A 17,111-nucleotide genomic window follows, 5' to 3' on the forward strand; every position below is an offset into this window, starting at 1 on the left:
CTGGAGTGCAATGGTGTGATTTCGGCTCACTGTAACCTGCGCCTCCCGGGTTCAAGCGATTCTCCTGCCTCAGCCTCCCGAGTAGCTGGGATTACAAGCGCCAGCACGCCTGGCTAATTTTTGTATTTCTAGTAGAGATGGGGTTTTGCCATGTTGGCCAGGCTGGTCTTGAACTCCTGACCTCAGGTGATCCACCTGCCTTGGCCTCCCAAAGTGCTGGGACTACTGGCGTGAGCCACAGCGCACAGCCAAAAAAAAGGAATGTTTTTAAGCCATAAATACTTTATGAACAAGAAGAGCAAATTTATTTATACGTTTTAAAAACTATGTGCTATATGAAGACAAAATAGTAAGCTGATAAGAATTCATCCAGCTTTATCCACCCAAGGATATCACCAGTAATTCAATCAATCAGCACGAAGTACAACTAAATGAACTCTGAAGAAGTACTGCAATGCATAACTATGTGTGTATGTGTGCACAGTACTTTAGCGGCAATTCAAAAGGGGGAAGTAGAAAAAAACAATTTGGATCTGGATTGTCAAAAATTTCTTTAAAGGATTTATAAAAATCCTTTAAAAAAGACAATTGGAATCAGAAGCAGGAGAAGAAAAGTCTTACAAAGAATCTTTGAGCTCTTTACAACTTCCTTTTAAGCATAATCATACAATCTCAAATGGTCTTAAACTATAAAAAACATAACACATGTTAAATATCCAGAGTATTGAATTATTTGAAGGAAGACTACAGAAACTCCTAAATTAAAACCAACAGCATCTGTACTATCAAGAATTAGAAATTGTAATATGCAATATGAAACACTGTAGAGAATCTAATCCACATCTAACGAGAAGAAATAAAGCTGCAAAGTCTTTCTTCTCTGCCCGAATCAACTGCATACAACAGGTAGTAATGACTTTTAAAGACAGCTGCCATTTTTATGAAAAAATTGTCAATTCCTATCTTCATGAAGAACAATGCACACCACTACTGTGAGTAGAACTTCAAAAGCATAATTGGTAGCCACGGTTTTATTAAAAGTAGGTAACTGTCACTTCAGAATATCACCAGGAAATAGCATAACTTGGTCATAAGTTCTAAAAAGTCCATGCAAAAAACCATAAAATTCAGTAGTTGGCATTTTGTGAGAACATAACTTAGCCTATAATTCAACAATTAAAACTAAAAGATACTAGTATGAGAGCCATGACCAAAATCAGCTAAAATAACAGTTCTCACAACTAAAAATACCATTAAATATTGATGACAAGTTGTATTAGAAAGATGATTATCAAATTTAGAAATAAAAAAACCGGAAGCTATAAATATCTTGAGACAACACCACCTGTGATTAGAGAATATCCATTCTCCCCTTCATTTTCCTTTAAAAACATTTAGCTGGACAAATGCTCACATAGATTTCTCAACATCTTGATGCTTGCATGGGCATGTGACTAAGCTCTTGCCAATGAAGTGTGAAGAGAAGTGAGGTACACCTTCTGGGTCCTGGCTTCTAGGGATGGTTCATTGCCTTCCCTTCTAGTTCCTTCTATCTTAATCAATAGTCCAGAAATGGTAGAATACCACCACACAAGGGAAACTTGGGTCCCCTACACTGCAGCAATTTGAAAATTGTCCAGAGATAAACAACCAGAGACTGGTAAGCCAGAGAAAAATAAGCTATCTATTAATAACTAATTTGGGATTTCTTTTACAACATCTGAACCAGATCCTAAGAAGCCACCTTTGAACAACAGTAAATTGAGATTAGAAACAAATAATAACAGGACATGCTGAAAGTATAAAATTTTGCCAATACTGGATGTGGGTAAACTATGCACATACAACGTTAAAAAGAAACAATTTAAAAGATATAAACAGTCAACATGTAAGAGAATGGAGGAAGACAGAAACTAAAGAAAAAAAATCTAAAACCAATCTTTAGAATTATAAAAATATATACTGGGGAAGATCTACATGAACTGATAGTGATTTCCAAGAAATATTACTAAATTTTAAAGGAGAGACAGTGCAAAACAGGACATATAGATGCTACTTTTTATGTAAGAAAAAAAAAATTTTTTTTTGAGACAGCGTTTCGCTCTTGTTGCCCAGGCTGGAGTGCAATGGCGCGATCTTGGCTCACTGCAACCTCCGCCTCCCAGATTCATGCGATTCTCCTGCCTCAGCCTCCCGAGTAGCTGGGATTACAGGCATGTGCTACCACGCCCAGCTAATTTTGTATTTTTAGTAGAGACGGGGTTTATCCATGTTGGTCAGGCTGCTCTCGAACTCCTGACCTTAGGTGATCTGCCTGCTTTGGCATCCCAAAGAGCTGGGATTACAGGCGTGAACCACCGCGCCGGGCTGAAAAATTTTAGTCTGTTTATTTTTATATAAAAAAGAAACATAGAAAAGAAGCAGCAGAAAACAATAAAATTGGTTCCCTACAAGGGTGGGTGACAGACTGGAACACATCTCAGATGAAGTGACCTCATTAAACTTACCTTTTTATATAGTTTTGACTTTTATAATGTTGTACACATTAAAAAAAAAAAAGTAAGAATGGAAACGGAAAACCCCAACACTTAAAGCAAACCAGAACAAAGAAACCTACTCATATTTCACATGGACAGCAAACACTGTGAAGAGAAGCCAGACAAACCACCCAATGCACTGACCAGTCAAGAGGCAGGCAGGCAGAAATAATCCCAAGTAATTTGTGAACATATTATTTGACTTTATACCCTCAATCTTGGGCAGGGTGGAGTAGGGCAAGGGCAGAATTGCCAAACAATTCCTGAAAATTTTTGTAAATTTACTTATTGTAGTGGAATGGGCAAAGCAATTCTGTACCTATTTAGATATAAGTTGAGTAAATGTGCTGCTGCTGTTGTTCACTGTGAAAAAGACATAAGGCCAGAAAGAACCCTGGGCTCTCACTGTGAAAAAGACAGAAGGCAAGAAATAATCCTGTGAAAATGCATGGATACTGAAGATTATGTGTGAATTCATGATTTCTAGATCACTTATGTACACAGGCATGAATCCACATATATATGTGAAGGTATATTTGTATGTGAATGTATGTGAATATATATGTATGTATGTAATATATGTATACGTGCATGTTTCCTATGCCCGTTTGCTAAAAGCGCCAAGAAGCAAAGGACACACCTAGGGCCCATTATCATAGTCTCTAATACCATTCTCCACTAAAGAGAATCATTACTCCTCGGAGAATGGACCTGATCCCGAGCCTACAGCTGACCAGGTACAAGATGAACCTAGAACACTGTGTTACACCAGGAAGAAAGAAGTTTTCACAAAATGATGGGGACATGGCAGACAAATCAAACAGCCAGCTTAATGAGGCTCTACTAGCCAAATCAGGACAAATTTAGGCCCCAAATAATTAAATACAGTAATAGATTATAAACCATTTGGGAAAAAGTAGGGATTCACTAAAGAAGTCAAATTCATAGGAACAAAGAGTGGAAAGGTGGTTGCCAGGGGCTGGCAGGTAGGGGAAATGGGATTTTGGTCAAAGGGTAGAAACTTCCCATTATAAAATGATTAGCTTCTGGAGATCTGACTTATAGCATGGTAACTACAGTTAATAATAATGTACTTTACAGAGTTATGTACCACATAACAAGGTTTTGGTCAATTACAAACTGCATATGTAACGGTGGTCTCATAAGATTTTAATGGAGCTGAAAAATTCCTAACATTTAGTGACATCTTAGCACAATGCATTAGGCGAGTGTTTGTAGTGATGCTTTTGTAAACAAACCTACTGTGCTGCCAGTCCTATAAGGGTACAGTACATACATGCCAGGTGCGGTGGCTCACGCCTGTAATCCTAGCATTTTGGGAGGCCGAGGTGGGTGGATCACCCGAGGTCGGGAGTTTGAGACCAGCCTGACCAACATGGAAAAACCCTGCCTCTATGAAAAATACAAAATTGGCTGGGCGTGGAGGTGCATGCCTGTAATCCCAGGTACTCTGGAGGCTGAGGCAGGAGAATTGCTTGAACCTGCGAGGCGGAGGTTGCGGTAAGCTGAGATCCCACCACTGCACTCCAGCCTGGACAACAAGAGCAAAAACTCCATCTCAAAAAAAAAAAAGAGTATAGCACATACAATTAGATACAGTAAGTAACACTTGACAATGAATGACTATTAACAATAGCAGTTACTGGTTTATGTATTTACTATATTTTAACCATTTTAGAATATACTCCTTCTACTTGTAAAACAAAAAAAAGTTCATTGTAAAACCGCTTCAGACAGGTACTTCAGGAGTTATTCCAGAAGAAGGCTGGCATCATAGGAGATGACAGCTCCACGTATGTTAGTGCCCTTGAAGAACTTCCAGTGGCACAAGATGTGGAGGTGGAAGACTGTGAGAATTATGATCTTCACTCTGGATAGGTCTAGGCTGGTGTATCTTAAGTTTTTAACAAAAAAAAAAAAAAATTTTTTTTTCTTTTTTTTTTTTTTTTTTTTTTGGCAGTCTCACTCTGTTGCCCAGGCTGGAGTACAGTGGCGCGATCTCGGCTCCCGCCACCACGCCTGGCTAACTGTATTTTTAGTAGAGATGGGGTTTCACCATGTTGGCCAGACTGGCCTCAAACTCCTGACCTCAGGTGACCCACCTGCCTCAACTTCCCCAAGTGCCGGGATTACAGGCGTGAGCCACCGCACCCAGGCAACAAAAAAGATTTTAAAGTAAAATTAAAAATAATTTTAAAAATAGAAAAAAGCTTACGGAATAAAGATATAAAGAATGAAAATATTTTTGTACAGTAGTACAGTGTGTTTGTTTTAAGCTATGTGTTATTAACAATAGCCAAAAAGTTTTAAACAAATTAAAACGTTTATAATGTTAAAAAGTTACAGTAAGCTGGTTGGCCACAGTGCCTCACGTCTGTAATCCCAACACTTTGGGAGGCCAAGCTGGGAGGATTGCTTGAGCCCAGGAGTTCAAGACCAGCCTCGACAACATGGTGAAACCCCACCTCTACAAAAAATACAAGATCACCAGGGTGTGGTGATGTCCACCTGTAGTCCCAGCTACTAGGGACGCTGAGGTGGGAGGATCAGTTGAGCCCAGGAGGTCAAGGCTGCAATGAACAGTGTTCACACCACTGCACTTCAACCTAGGTGACAGAGGGAGATTGTCTCAAAACAAAAAGCAAAAAGAAAAAAACAAGCCATTACAGTAAGCTAAGGTTAATTTATCATTGAAGAAACTATTATAACTTTAGTGCAGCATACGTGTACAGTCTTTATAAAGTCTACAGTAGTGTCCTAAGCTTTCACATTCACTCACTGACTCCCAAAGAAACTTGCAATCCTGCAAGCTCCATTCATGGTTAAGTGTCCTATATAGGTGTACCATTTTTATATGTATTTTTACTGTACCTTTTCTAGGTTTAGATACACAAATACTTACCACTGTGTTACAACTGCCTACAATATTCAGTACGGCAACATATCAGAAGCAACAGGCTATACCATATAGCCTAGGTGTGTGGCAGACTATCCCATCTAGCTTTGTGTTCTGTGTGCACAATGAAATCGCCTAATGATGCATTTCTCAGAATGTAACCCTGTCATTAAGTAATGCGTGACTGTAGTACAAAATGGAAAAACAAATGAAATTCCAAACTATAAACACCCTAACACACACACAGGCACACACGCATGTGCGTGTGCTCACTCGTGCTCTCTCTCTCCCCTCCCCCGTCCCTCCCATCTCCCCCCACTCACCCCCCAACCCCTACCCCCCTCCTTCCCATCTATAACTATCAAATAGATGTCAGTGCTTTCCAGCTCCTGATAACCCCTGGCCACATTTTCTCACTTCAAGCCTCATTTCCTGGGAAATAAGAGTAAAATACTTTGAACTTTCAAACTTTAAAGGCACCTATACTAAAGAAAATACGATTAGGCAGGGCACGGTAGCTCACATCTGTAATCCCAGCACATTGGGAGGCCGAGGGAGGCGGATCGCTTGAGATCAGGAGTTCAAGACCAACATGGTAAAACCCCGTCTCTACTAAAAATACAAAAATTAGCCCTAGGACATGGTGGCACCCACCTGTAGTCCCAGCTACTCAAGAGGCTAAGGCAGTTGAATCACTTGAACCCAAGAGACAGAGATTGCAGTGAGCTGAGACTGCGCCACTGCACTCCAGCCTGGGCAACAGAGCGAGACTCCATATCCAAAACAAAAAAAAAGATTAACAGTACTTTCATTACTTATTAAAATCCTTCCAGAATAAAGTATTAAAGGAAAAAAAAGCACAAGAATTGGATCACAGAGAGAAAATAATTTACATTTTCCTAAGCCTTTTTGACTTATACAGATCAATGATTTTAATTACCTGGTTTAATATTTAAGTTAAATACTACCTATATAAAAGGAAGCAATATGCTTCTGGTTTGGAACAAACACACTGAGGAAATACTAAGACTGCTCAAAATTCCAGTAGGAAAAAACAATTCTGCCTTTTTAAGATACTCTTCTTATTCATTTTTGTATCCCTAGCACAGTGAAAGTCATGTAGTAAACACCAAACAAAAACAATGATGAAAAAAAGCCAACTAAAACCGACTCCCTCTCTTCCATACCTAGGCCCAGCCAGAACCTGCTCAGCTTCAACAACTCTTTGGATCACCCACCCAGGAGCTGTAAGTGAATGGCAGCAGCTATTAACTTCCACACTTTTGCCAGTTTCCCTCATCACCAATCCAATTGCTACAGTCATTCTTTTTTTCAGGCTTCATATCAATTAATATATCAGGTTTCTAGTACTTGAGAATATAGTGGATCTCACAATACCACATGATGACTGGATCTCAAGATAGTCAGTGAGTCCCCATACATATAACAAAGGTAACACTGGGTAAAACTGTTCTGACAGAAAAATATGCTATTTCATGAGAGTGGGTTCTAACTGCTAAAGGAAGACACTGTGTGGAAGGAACATTTGTTCTTGGGTGAGATGTGGGAGTACTTGTCCTTTAAAGTCTCTTCAATTGTAAGATTTTGCTAGTAAGTTGACAACCCGTATAAACTCATTTTATAAAACAAAAAATGAAGTTTATCAAAGTATAAAGCTATATTCAACTTTAAAACTGCAGGTTTATGTAATTACAACATTCTAAAACAACTAAATATGTAACCATGATTTATACTGATAAATTTTAATTGCCCAGAAGCCCCCTATCCAGTGTCATATTGAAGGACAGATGGGAAGAAAAAATTAAGTCCAGAATGTTCCTTAAAGAGTTAGACAAAAGATAGTGCTAGAAGGGCCTAGCTTTAAACCACAGGGGAATGATGAAAGTAAAGGTATAGGCTGGGCATGATGGCTTATGCCTGTAATCCCACCACTTTGGGAGGCCGAGACCGGCAGATGGCTAGACTCAGGAGCCCGAGACTAGCCTGGGAAAAATGGTGAAACCCCATCTCTACAAAAAATACAAAAAATTAGCTGGACGCAGTGGCGTGTGCCTATAGTCCCAGCTACCCTAGAGGCTGAAGCACAGGAATCACTTGAGCCCAGGAAGTCGAGGCTGCAGTGAGACATGATCACACCATTGCACTCCAGCCTGAGCAACTGGAGTGAAACCCTGTCTCAACAACAAAAAAAGAACGTAAAGGTATAAATATTGGAGAATTGAAACTGAGATTGACGTTATGGTTAGTTTCATCAATGACCCAGCAGCAGTCTTAACTGCAAAACAAGATGGCCAACATCCCAGGTAAAACACAACCAACCCCGCAAGCACTGAAAACCTGTACAGTCAGCCTGACTATACAGACAATGAATGCTTACAAGCAGGGATGACAGGCAGCAGCTGAATGAAAAGGTAGAAGTCAAACCACAAGCAGGGCAAGCAGAAGAAATAATCTAAGTATATCAGCACACATATGACAGCTACAAATAATGGCATGTAGGGAAGCTGTAGCCAGAAATCAGAAACTGGATGACATTTCATGAACGAAAGTACCAAGAACTGCTCAATGATCAAAACCTTACCTAGAAACAATAGGTAGTTAAATCCAGGTATGTTTCAACCCTATTTATCAAATCCTATCTTTCTTTTTCTCACCAGCAAGTGACAACTTTTCTGAATCATCATTTCAACTATGTTCTTACTACAAGTTTTCTTCACCCTCATCTTCTTTCTGAGTCAGCCCTCAATCCTGATATTAACAACTCTATATTCCTGGGAGACACTAAAGGAAATTCTCACAGACACGTATGCTTAAGAGTTCATGCTTTCTGGGCCAGGTGTGGTGGCTCACGCCTGTAATCCCACCACTTTAGGAGGCCGAGGCGGGTGGATCACGAGGTCAGGAGAGCAAGACCATCCTGGCTAACACGGTGAAACCCCACCTCTACTAAAAAATACCAAAAAAAAATTAGCCGGGCATGGTGGTGGGCGCCTGTAGTCCCAGCTACTTGGGAGGCTGAGGCAGGAGAATGGAGTGAACCTGGGAGGCGGAGCTTGCAGTGAGCTGAGATCGCACCACTGCACTCCAGCCTGGGCAACAGAGCAAGACTCTGTCTCAAAACAAACAAACAAACAAAAAAAGAGTTAATGCTTTCTAACACAGGGTAGAGGGGTAGGTAGAGGGAAGGGGGACCTCTTGGCCAGACTATGTCAGCAGAACTAAGGTGAGGAAGATGGTCAGCATAGTCAAGAAACTAGTTACATACATGACGATTGTGAAAATAAGAACACATGTGGAGGATAATGGAAACCAGATTTCTCTCGGCGAAGGGAATTAAAATATGGAAAATGAGAAGTCTAGAATAAAACGTGGTATTGGAAATATTAGTGTGAACTCATGGTTCTAAACATACACAGAATGACCATGAAATAGACATGTGTCTGTATATGAAACAGTATATGCATATTTTTACATGTTTCCTAGCTGTCTACTCAGAGAGGGCCTAGAAGCAATGACACTTCAGAAGAAATAACCATACCTAGTGAACAAGTATTTATTTCTAAATACCATTCTCCATGAACTGCAAACAGGAATCCTTGAAGAAATGGCTGACTCCAGGACTGGGAAAGTATAGGATGAGCCTGGAACATCTTAGAATGTCAGTAAGGTGCTCGCTTCGGCAGCACATATACAAAAACTGGAACGATACCAAGATTAGCATGACCCCTGCACAAGGATGACACACAAATTCGTAGAGCGTTAAAATTAAAGAAAATAGAATGTAAGTAAGAAAATGCAAAATAGTGGGACACATCAAAGCCAGCTTGAAGGAACATCCACCAACTAAATCTAAGAAGATCAAACTAATGACAGAACTATGATTTAAATAAATACAGTAACAAATGACTGAATAAAGTAGAAATCCATGTTCATACTGTAATAACTAAATGAATACATATAAAAATACATGCATATACTCTAACCTACATGGAGGGGAAGAAAATATCTACCTAACACTACAAGGCCAAATACTAATAACTGTAGAACAAATGCTATAATTAGGAAATCACATTTGGCAACCAATGTTGTAAAAACTGACTCAGGCAACAATCAATGCCAAAACTAGGGGGTGAAGTCTAATGAGGAAAGGTGACGAACCTGAAAAATACCATCTTAACCAAGTGATCAGTTAACATCAGTAGTAATGGTACAAGCTGACATTAAGTACCACCTGATGTGATGCAGCAAGAAAATGGCATCTCCTCTGTATTGCCATCAAAACTGTCTAATCTGAGTCTAATCATGAGAAAGTATCAAACACAAACTGAGGGACATTAGACAAAATAACTGGCCTTAACTCCGCCAAAGATGTAAAAACCATGAAAAGACCAGGAAACACAGATCCCATGGCACACTGAAGGAGAGTAGAGACTTGTGACAACTAAACTAACATGTGATTCTGGATTAGATCATGGGTTCTTTGTTTAGGAGACATGGGGGTGTAGTTTAGTTGTTTTGCTATAAAGAACATTACTGGGACAAATGCTGAAATTTGAATGGGATCTGTGGATTAGACAATGGATTACATCAATGTTAACTCTTTGGTTTTGATGGGTATTCTGTGGCAGTAAAGCAAAGTGCTCTTGTTTTTAGAAAGTACAAACTAGGTATTTAGGAGTAATGGGCATCATATCTGAAATACTATCAAGTCACACACACATACATATACAGCAATGGGAGGAGGATGCATTTCACTCCCCAGGAAACATTTGGCAATGTCCAAAGACATTTTGGGTTGTAACAACAAGGCAAGAGGGGGGTGCTATTGACAACTAATGGAAAGAGGCCAGGGATGTTGCTGAATATCCTTCAGTGTACAGGGCCAGCCTCCAAACCAAGAATTATTCAGTCCAAAATATCAATAGTGCTCAGGCTGAAAAACTGTGATAGAACAGGAGGAAAACTCCTGCCACTACAAGTCACAGACTACCTCTTTACCACCTGGAAATGGGGCCACTGGAATTCTTAAATCTAATCAGATTAGAGAGCCAGAAAATCCAGATACTCTCACTGGCCTACCATTAAAATGAATAAAGGTTTTGCCTTGAAAAAAAAAAAAAAAGGCTACTACGTTAAGACACAGCTTAAGACACAGTTTTGGCTTGGCACGGTGGGAGGCCAACTTTGGTACTTTGGGAGGCCAAGGTGGGCGGATCGCTTGAGGTCAGCAGTTCAAGATCAGCCTGGCAAACAGGTGAAACCCCATATCTACTAGAAATACAAAAATTAGCCGGGCATGGTGGTGCACGTCTGTAATCCCAGCTACCTGGGAGGCCGAGGCAGGAGAATTGCTTGTACCTAGGAGGCAGAGGTTGCAGTGAGCCAAGATCGCGTCGCCACACTCCAGCCTGGGGGACAGAGTGAGACTCCATCTCAAAAAAAAAAACACATACACACACACAGCTTTACTCATATTACATTTTTCAAATAAGCTCAGTCCCATAGCTCTTTTTGTTTTATAAATTAGCAATAATTTTCTTAATTTTCTGACACTATCACTTTGCATCCATCAACAGTAAATAGGTTTGCTGCTGACTCAAGTTGCCATGACCTGATTTACTTTAGGCCAGATAGATTCCTTTGTAATCAGGTCAAGTACATGTACACTGCTGCCTTCTAAGCTATGTTACTAGCAAAGAAATTACTCCAACATTAAGTTCATAACTAAGTTAAAAAAACAGAACACAAATAGGTACAAATGACTTCAACTGAATATAGAATTAACATATAAGCAGACAGTATAAAAATCATTTCAACAAATTTTAACACAGTACCATAACTGTTCATCCTAAGTAAACTAAAATCTAAGGAAAAAACCAATTACAAAGAAATTAAAATTCACTCATATTTATTGCTCATATTATTGGAATTATAATTTTGATATATATGTATGCTGTAGGATAAAGCAAATAAGTATACAATTCTGTGATGTTAAATTTGAAGGCCGGGCGCGGTGGCTCACACCTGTAATTCCAGCACTTTGGGAGGCCGAGGCAGGTGGATCACCTGAGGTCGGGAGTTCGAGACCAGCCTGACTAACCTGGAAAAACCCCATCTCTACTAAAAATACAAAAATTAGCTGGGCATGGTGGTGCATGCCTGTAATCCCAGCTACTCTGGAGGCTGAGGCAGGAGAAGCACTTGAACCCAGGAGGCGGAGGTTGCAGTGAGCCGAGATCATGCCACCGCACTCCAGCCTGGGTGACAGAGCAAGACTCTGTCTTAAATAAATAAATAAATAAATACATACATAAATAAATTTGAAAAAGAAACTATCAATAACATAAACTCATGGTTCTTTTTTTTTTTTTTTTTTTTTAAGACGGAGTCTCGCTCTGTTGCCCAGGCTGGAGTGCAGTGGCATGATCTCCGCTCACTGCAAACTCTGCCTCCCGGGTTCGCGCCATTCTCCTGCCTCAGCCTCCCAAGTAGCTGGGACCACAGGCGCCCGCCACCACACATGGCTAATTTTTTGTGTTTTTAGTAGAAACGGGATTTCACCGTGTTAGCCAGGATGGTCTTGCTCTCCTGACCTCGTGATCCACCCGCCTCGGCCTCCCAAAGTGCTAGGATTACAGGCGTGAGCCACCACGCCCGGCATGGTTCATTTTTCAACATTATCTCCTAACTCTGTCTGAAGAAAGGCCCTTGATGCGATGAACACACTCAGCACTCAGATCTTGGTTTCTAAGTACTAATGTCCACAAAAAGAACCAAGGTTCCTAGAAAAACACATGACTCCATGACTTAAAACAGGGAATCTATAAGATGAGCCTGAGCCATCTTATTGTACAGAAGGCAAGGGAAGTGCTCAAAGATGACAGGTTATTTCAAAAGGATACAAGAGACCGCTTGAAATGGTTCACACTGGCCAAATATAAAACAACTTCAACTTAAAAAAAAAAAAAAGCAAAATCAACTATAAAACATTTAGTAAATAGTATTTATTTTTATTACATATATTTAACATGCAAGATAACGTTTTAATACACACAATGATTACTGCAAGCATCCATCACTTTCCAGTTACCCTGTGTGTGTGTTAAGAGCACCTACAATCTACTCTCTTAGCAAATGTCCTATATTATTAACTACAGGTCTCCTACTGTACATCAGATAGCTACATTTATTCATCCTATGTAACTGCAAGTATGTACTGTCTGACCAACACTGCCCTATTTCCTCCCCCTCCTCATCCCTGGTATCCACCATTCTATTCTGTTTCTACATATTCAACTATTTTTAATTTGACACGTTAAGTGAGATCATGCCGTTTTTAATATTCTTTGTGTCTGAGTTATTTGACTTAGCATAATGTCAGTAAGTAAAAATGTTATCCAATAAGCAAAAATTACTGAATCTATAGTGATGGAGACAGCTGGAAGAAGGAGAGGGGAAGAAGGAGAGATGAAGGTTCCTCTTTACAAAATTCCAGCTATTAAATGTGTAAGAAATAACGATTAGAAAACTCATCATTCTGTAACTCGAGCAATAAATGATGTAGGCAAAGCTCAACAATGGATACGAAAATGAGGTAAGACAATAATGGGGAACAGGGCATGCACGTGGTACTGGACTAGCACTCTGAAGTTTCCTAACTAAATTATAAAATGAGATATGTACTTTTATTTTGTTGAGAGCTGGTGATCACAACCTTAACTAGGTGGTCAAACAATGCTAAGAGTGGAGTAACCAGGTATCATGAGACTTCTGATGTAAAGCATCATACACAATGCAACCGGTGAAATAGCCTCCCCACCGCCCCCCACCAAAAAGTCTAACCTGAATTTAATCAAACTTCCAGACTTAAATTCTGGTACTTTAATGCAGTGAGGCAACAAATTAAATGACATCAGTAGGAAACAATCAGATAAATTCTGAATGCAGAACTTTCTGTAAGACAAATATCCTGGCCTCTTAAAAAACCATCAGGGCCATCCGGGCGCGGTGGCTCACACCTGTAATCCCAGCACTTTGGGAAGCCGAGGCGAGCAGATCACGAGGGTCAGGAGATAGAGACCATCCTGGCTAACACTGTGAAACCCCGTCTCTACCAAAAATACAAAAACAAAATTAGCCGGGTGTGGTGGTGGGCGCCTATAGTCCCACCTACTTGGGAGGCTGAGGCGGGAGAATGGCGTGAATCCAGGAGGCGGAGCTTGCAGTGAGCAGAGATGGCACCACTGCACTCGAGCCTGGGTGACAGAGTGAGACTCCGTCTCAAAAAAAAAAAAAAAATTCAGGACCAAGGGGAATTTTTTTCAAAGGGGGGTACTGTTCAAAACTAAGAGAGACATAACTAAATGATTATGGTTTGGGAAAAAAAATATGAAAAGACATTTTGAAGATGGGGAAAACTGAATACAGTGATTATCAGATTATATCAAAGAATTACTAGGAATTGACTTAAGTGTTATATAACCACAGGTATGAGACCTTTTTCTTAAGAAATGCAGGCAACTTACTTTCAAATAAGACCATATATATATTTAATAAAATAAACTTTCAAATAAGACTGTACATATACTTAATATAAGTATTATACAGTAAATATATATTATAGAGAGGGAGAAAGGAAAGGGACTATGTACAATTATGGTTAAATGCTAACTGGAAAACAATCTAGGCAGAGGGATATGGGTACTCATCTTACTGCTCTTTCACATTTTCTGTATATTTCAAATTTTCATTTATTTATTTATTTATTAAGAGACAGGGTCTCACTCTGTTGTCCAGGCTCCAGTGAAGTGATGTGATCATAGCTCACTGCAGCCTTGAACTCCTGGGTTCAAGTGATCTTCCTGTCTCAGCCTCCCAAGTAGCTTGGACTACAACCAAGCCACCATGCCCAACTACATTTTTTTTTTTTTTTAAGAGATGGGGCCAGGCACATTGGCTCACGCCTGTAATCGCTGGACTTTGGGAGGCCAAAGCAGGTGGATCACCTGAGGCCAGGAGTTCGACACCAGCCTGGCCAACATGATGAGACCCTCCCTCTACTAAAAATACAAAAAATTAGCCAGGCATGGTGGCGCTTGCCTGTAGTCCCAGCTACCCAGGAGGCTAAGGCAGGAGAATCACTTGCACCTGGGAGGCAGAGGCTCTAGTAAGCTGAGATTGCGCCACTGCACTCCAGCCTGGGCAACAGAGCAAGACTCTGCCTCAAAAAATATTTTATAAAGATGTTAACTGGCTTTTTTAATGCATTGACATTTGTATGGATGGTGCAAAAGCAATGGTGGGTAAAACTGCTGGTGCCTTAGCACAAATAAAGGTAGGACTTCTAACTGCTACATACTATGTAGCAGTCAAAAAGTAAAATGCCAGTTTCACTTAAAGCCCTTAATGAAGGAATAAAAATAGTTAATTTTATTAAATCTCTATCCCTGAATACACTAATAATCTCTGTGACAAAACAAGTATGCATAAAACACTTCTGCTGCATGCAAAGTACAGTGGTTGTATGGAGAAAAAACCACCACTGTTTAAGTTGCAAGCCAAACTAGCTACTTTTTTCTCAAACATCATCTTTACTGGAAAGATCGACAAACTATGCTGATTCAAACGTGGGAATGTGGCAGGCATTTTCTCGAAAACAAAGAGTAAATCTGTTACCATCAGTTGTTTTCCTTGAAGTATTTGCTTCCAATAAAAAAAAATTGAACTTTTAAGCAAAAACAAATTTTAGAGAACTTGTATCTACCACTGTGAACTTGATAGGTTCCCAGTACTTACAAACTTTTCTGAGTTTGGCAGTGGTATTAACATGGTTTTTCGATACTGTATAATGAAATGTGTCATCATTTGAAAGATTTGCATAATTCATCGTAACCAGTATTTTGCAAGTGACCAGTGTATGATGTTACAAAGCATGTATGGGTAAATGCCCATTCAAAATGCAAGATAAAGCAGCAGATTTTAATGCAATGTATGAAAGGTTACTGGCACGGTTTCACATTCCAAGTTGCAACTAATCATCAAGAAACTCCCATTTCTTGAGTTTTGGGGTAGTACTGTAGAAGAATATCCAAAATTACCTGAAAAGCTTATTAAAACACAACTACGTATCACTGTGAAGTCATACAGTTTTCTAGAAATTCAAAGTCTCACCTAAGCACCTGGGAGTGCAAAACTATAGGACAATTACATTGAAAAGATCCCCAGTGGGCTCTTCAGGTAAAATAGGAAAAATAAGGCCATAAAAATTGAACACACTCATTCTTTAGTTATTTAAAAGCAATTCAATCTACAAGAATAAAAGGTACTGGCAACCTCTAATTTTAACTTTAAATAACAAAACACTATAACAAGCTATTTAAGGAATTTTTTACAAAAAAGGCGAAGTCAAATTATTCTCAATACCCATGCTGGACCATATTACATTTTGGGAGGCCAAGGCAGGCAGATAGCCTGAGCCTAGGAGTTCAAGACCAGCATGGGCAACAAACTGAAACCACGTCTCTACAAAAAATACAAAAATTAGCCAGGTATCATAATGCACGCCTGTAGTCCCAGCTATTTAGGAGTCTGAGGTGGGAGATCACCTGAGCCCGAGGACGTCAAGGCTGCACTGAGCTGGGATCACACCACTGCATTCCAGCCTGGGTGAGAGTGAGACCATCTCAAAAAAAAAAGAGGAGGAGGAATAAAGTTGGCCCTAACCTTACACCATATACAAAAATTAACTTAAAATAGAACAACGATCTAAACGTAACGACCTAAAACTATGAATTATAGGAAAAAAACATAGACAAAAATGTATGTAACACTGGATCTGGCAACAATTTATTGGATATGACACCAAAAGCACAGACAACAGAATGACAAATTGAACATCAAAATTAAAATGTTTTTGCATCAAAGGACAATATCAATACAGTGAAAAACAACTAATGAAATAGCAGAAAATATTTGTAAACCATATTACTGCTAAGGATTAACATACTACTACAACTCAATAAAAACAAAAAAACTCAATTCAAAAATGGGCAAAGGGCCGGGCACGGTGGCTCACACCTGTAATCCCAGCACTCTGGGACACCGAGGCAAGTGTATCACCTGAGGTCAGGAGTTAGGGACCAGCCTGACAAACATGATGAAACCCCATCTCTACTAAAAATACAAAATTAGCCAAGCATGGTGTCACATGCGTGTAATCCCAGCTACTTGGGAGGCTGAGGCAGGAGAATTCCTTGAACCCAGGAGGCGGAGGTTGCAGTGAGCCAAGATTGTGCTACCGCACTCCAGCCTGGGCAACAAGAGCGAAACTCCATCTAAAACAAACAAACAAAAAAACTGGGCAAAGGACTTAGACATTTCTTCAAAGATACAAAAATAGCCAGTAAACACATAAAAAATGCTCAACATCACTAATCATTAGTGAAGTGCAAATCAAACCACAATGAGATACCACTTCACACCCATTAGGCTATTATCAAAAAACAGAAAATAGAAGTGCTGGTAAGGATACGAAGAAACTAGGGCCCTCATATGTTGCTGGTAGCAATGTAAAATGGTGCAGACAACCACAGAGAACAGTTTGGCAGTTCCTCAGAAAGTTATAGGCCTACCATACT

At 39.8% G+C, this 17,111-nt stretch overlaps 1 protein-coding gene and 1 pseudogene across 2 annotated transcripts in view, besides 2 other annotated features; one reads left to right on the top strand and one right to left on the bottom strand.

Moving 5' to 3' along the window:
• The window catches only part of WAPL (WAPL cohesin release factor), an 86,537-nt gene that overhangs the window by 44,048 nt on the left and 25,378 nt on the right, over positions 1 to 17,111 (bottom strand). The window lies entirely within an intron of this gene.
• Positions 7,555 to 7,724: an enhancer, noted in NCBI's record as "active region_3690". NCBI's record gives its function as "activates an Ori minimal core promoter by ATAC-STARR-seq in GM12878 lymphoblastoid cells {active_cell/tissue: GM12878}" and the evidence as "EXISTENCE:reporter gene assay evidence [ECO:0000049][PMID:35858748]".
• Positions 7,735 to 7,784: an enhancer, noted in NCBI's record as "active region_3691". NCBI's record gives its function as "activates an Ori minimal core promoter by ATAC-STARR-seq in GM12878 lymphoblastoid cells {active_cell/tissue: GM12878}" and the evidence as "EXISTENCE:reporter gene assay evidence [ECO:0000049][PMID:35858748]".
• RNU6-780P (RNA, U6 small nuclear 780, pseudogene) lies at positions 9,143 to 9,246 on the top strand (annotated as a pseudogene).

Source organism: Homo sapiens, chromosome 10 (genome assembly GCF_000001405.40).
Source record: "Homo sapiens chromosome 10, GRCh38.p14 Primary Assembly".
Lineage (NCBI taxonomy): Eukaryota > Metazoa > Chordata > Mammalia > Primates > Hominidae > Homo > Homo sapiens.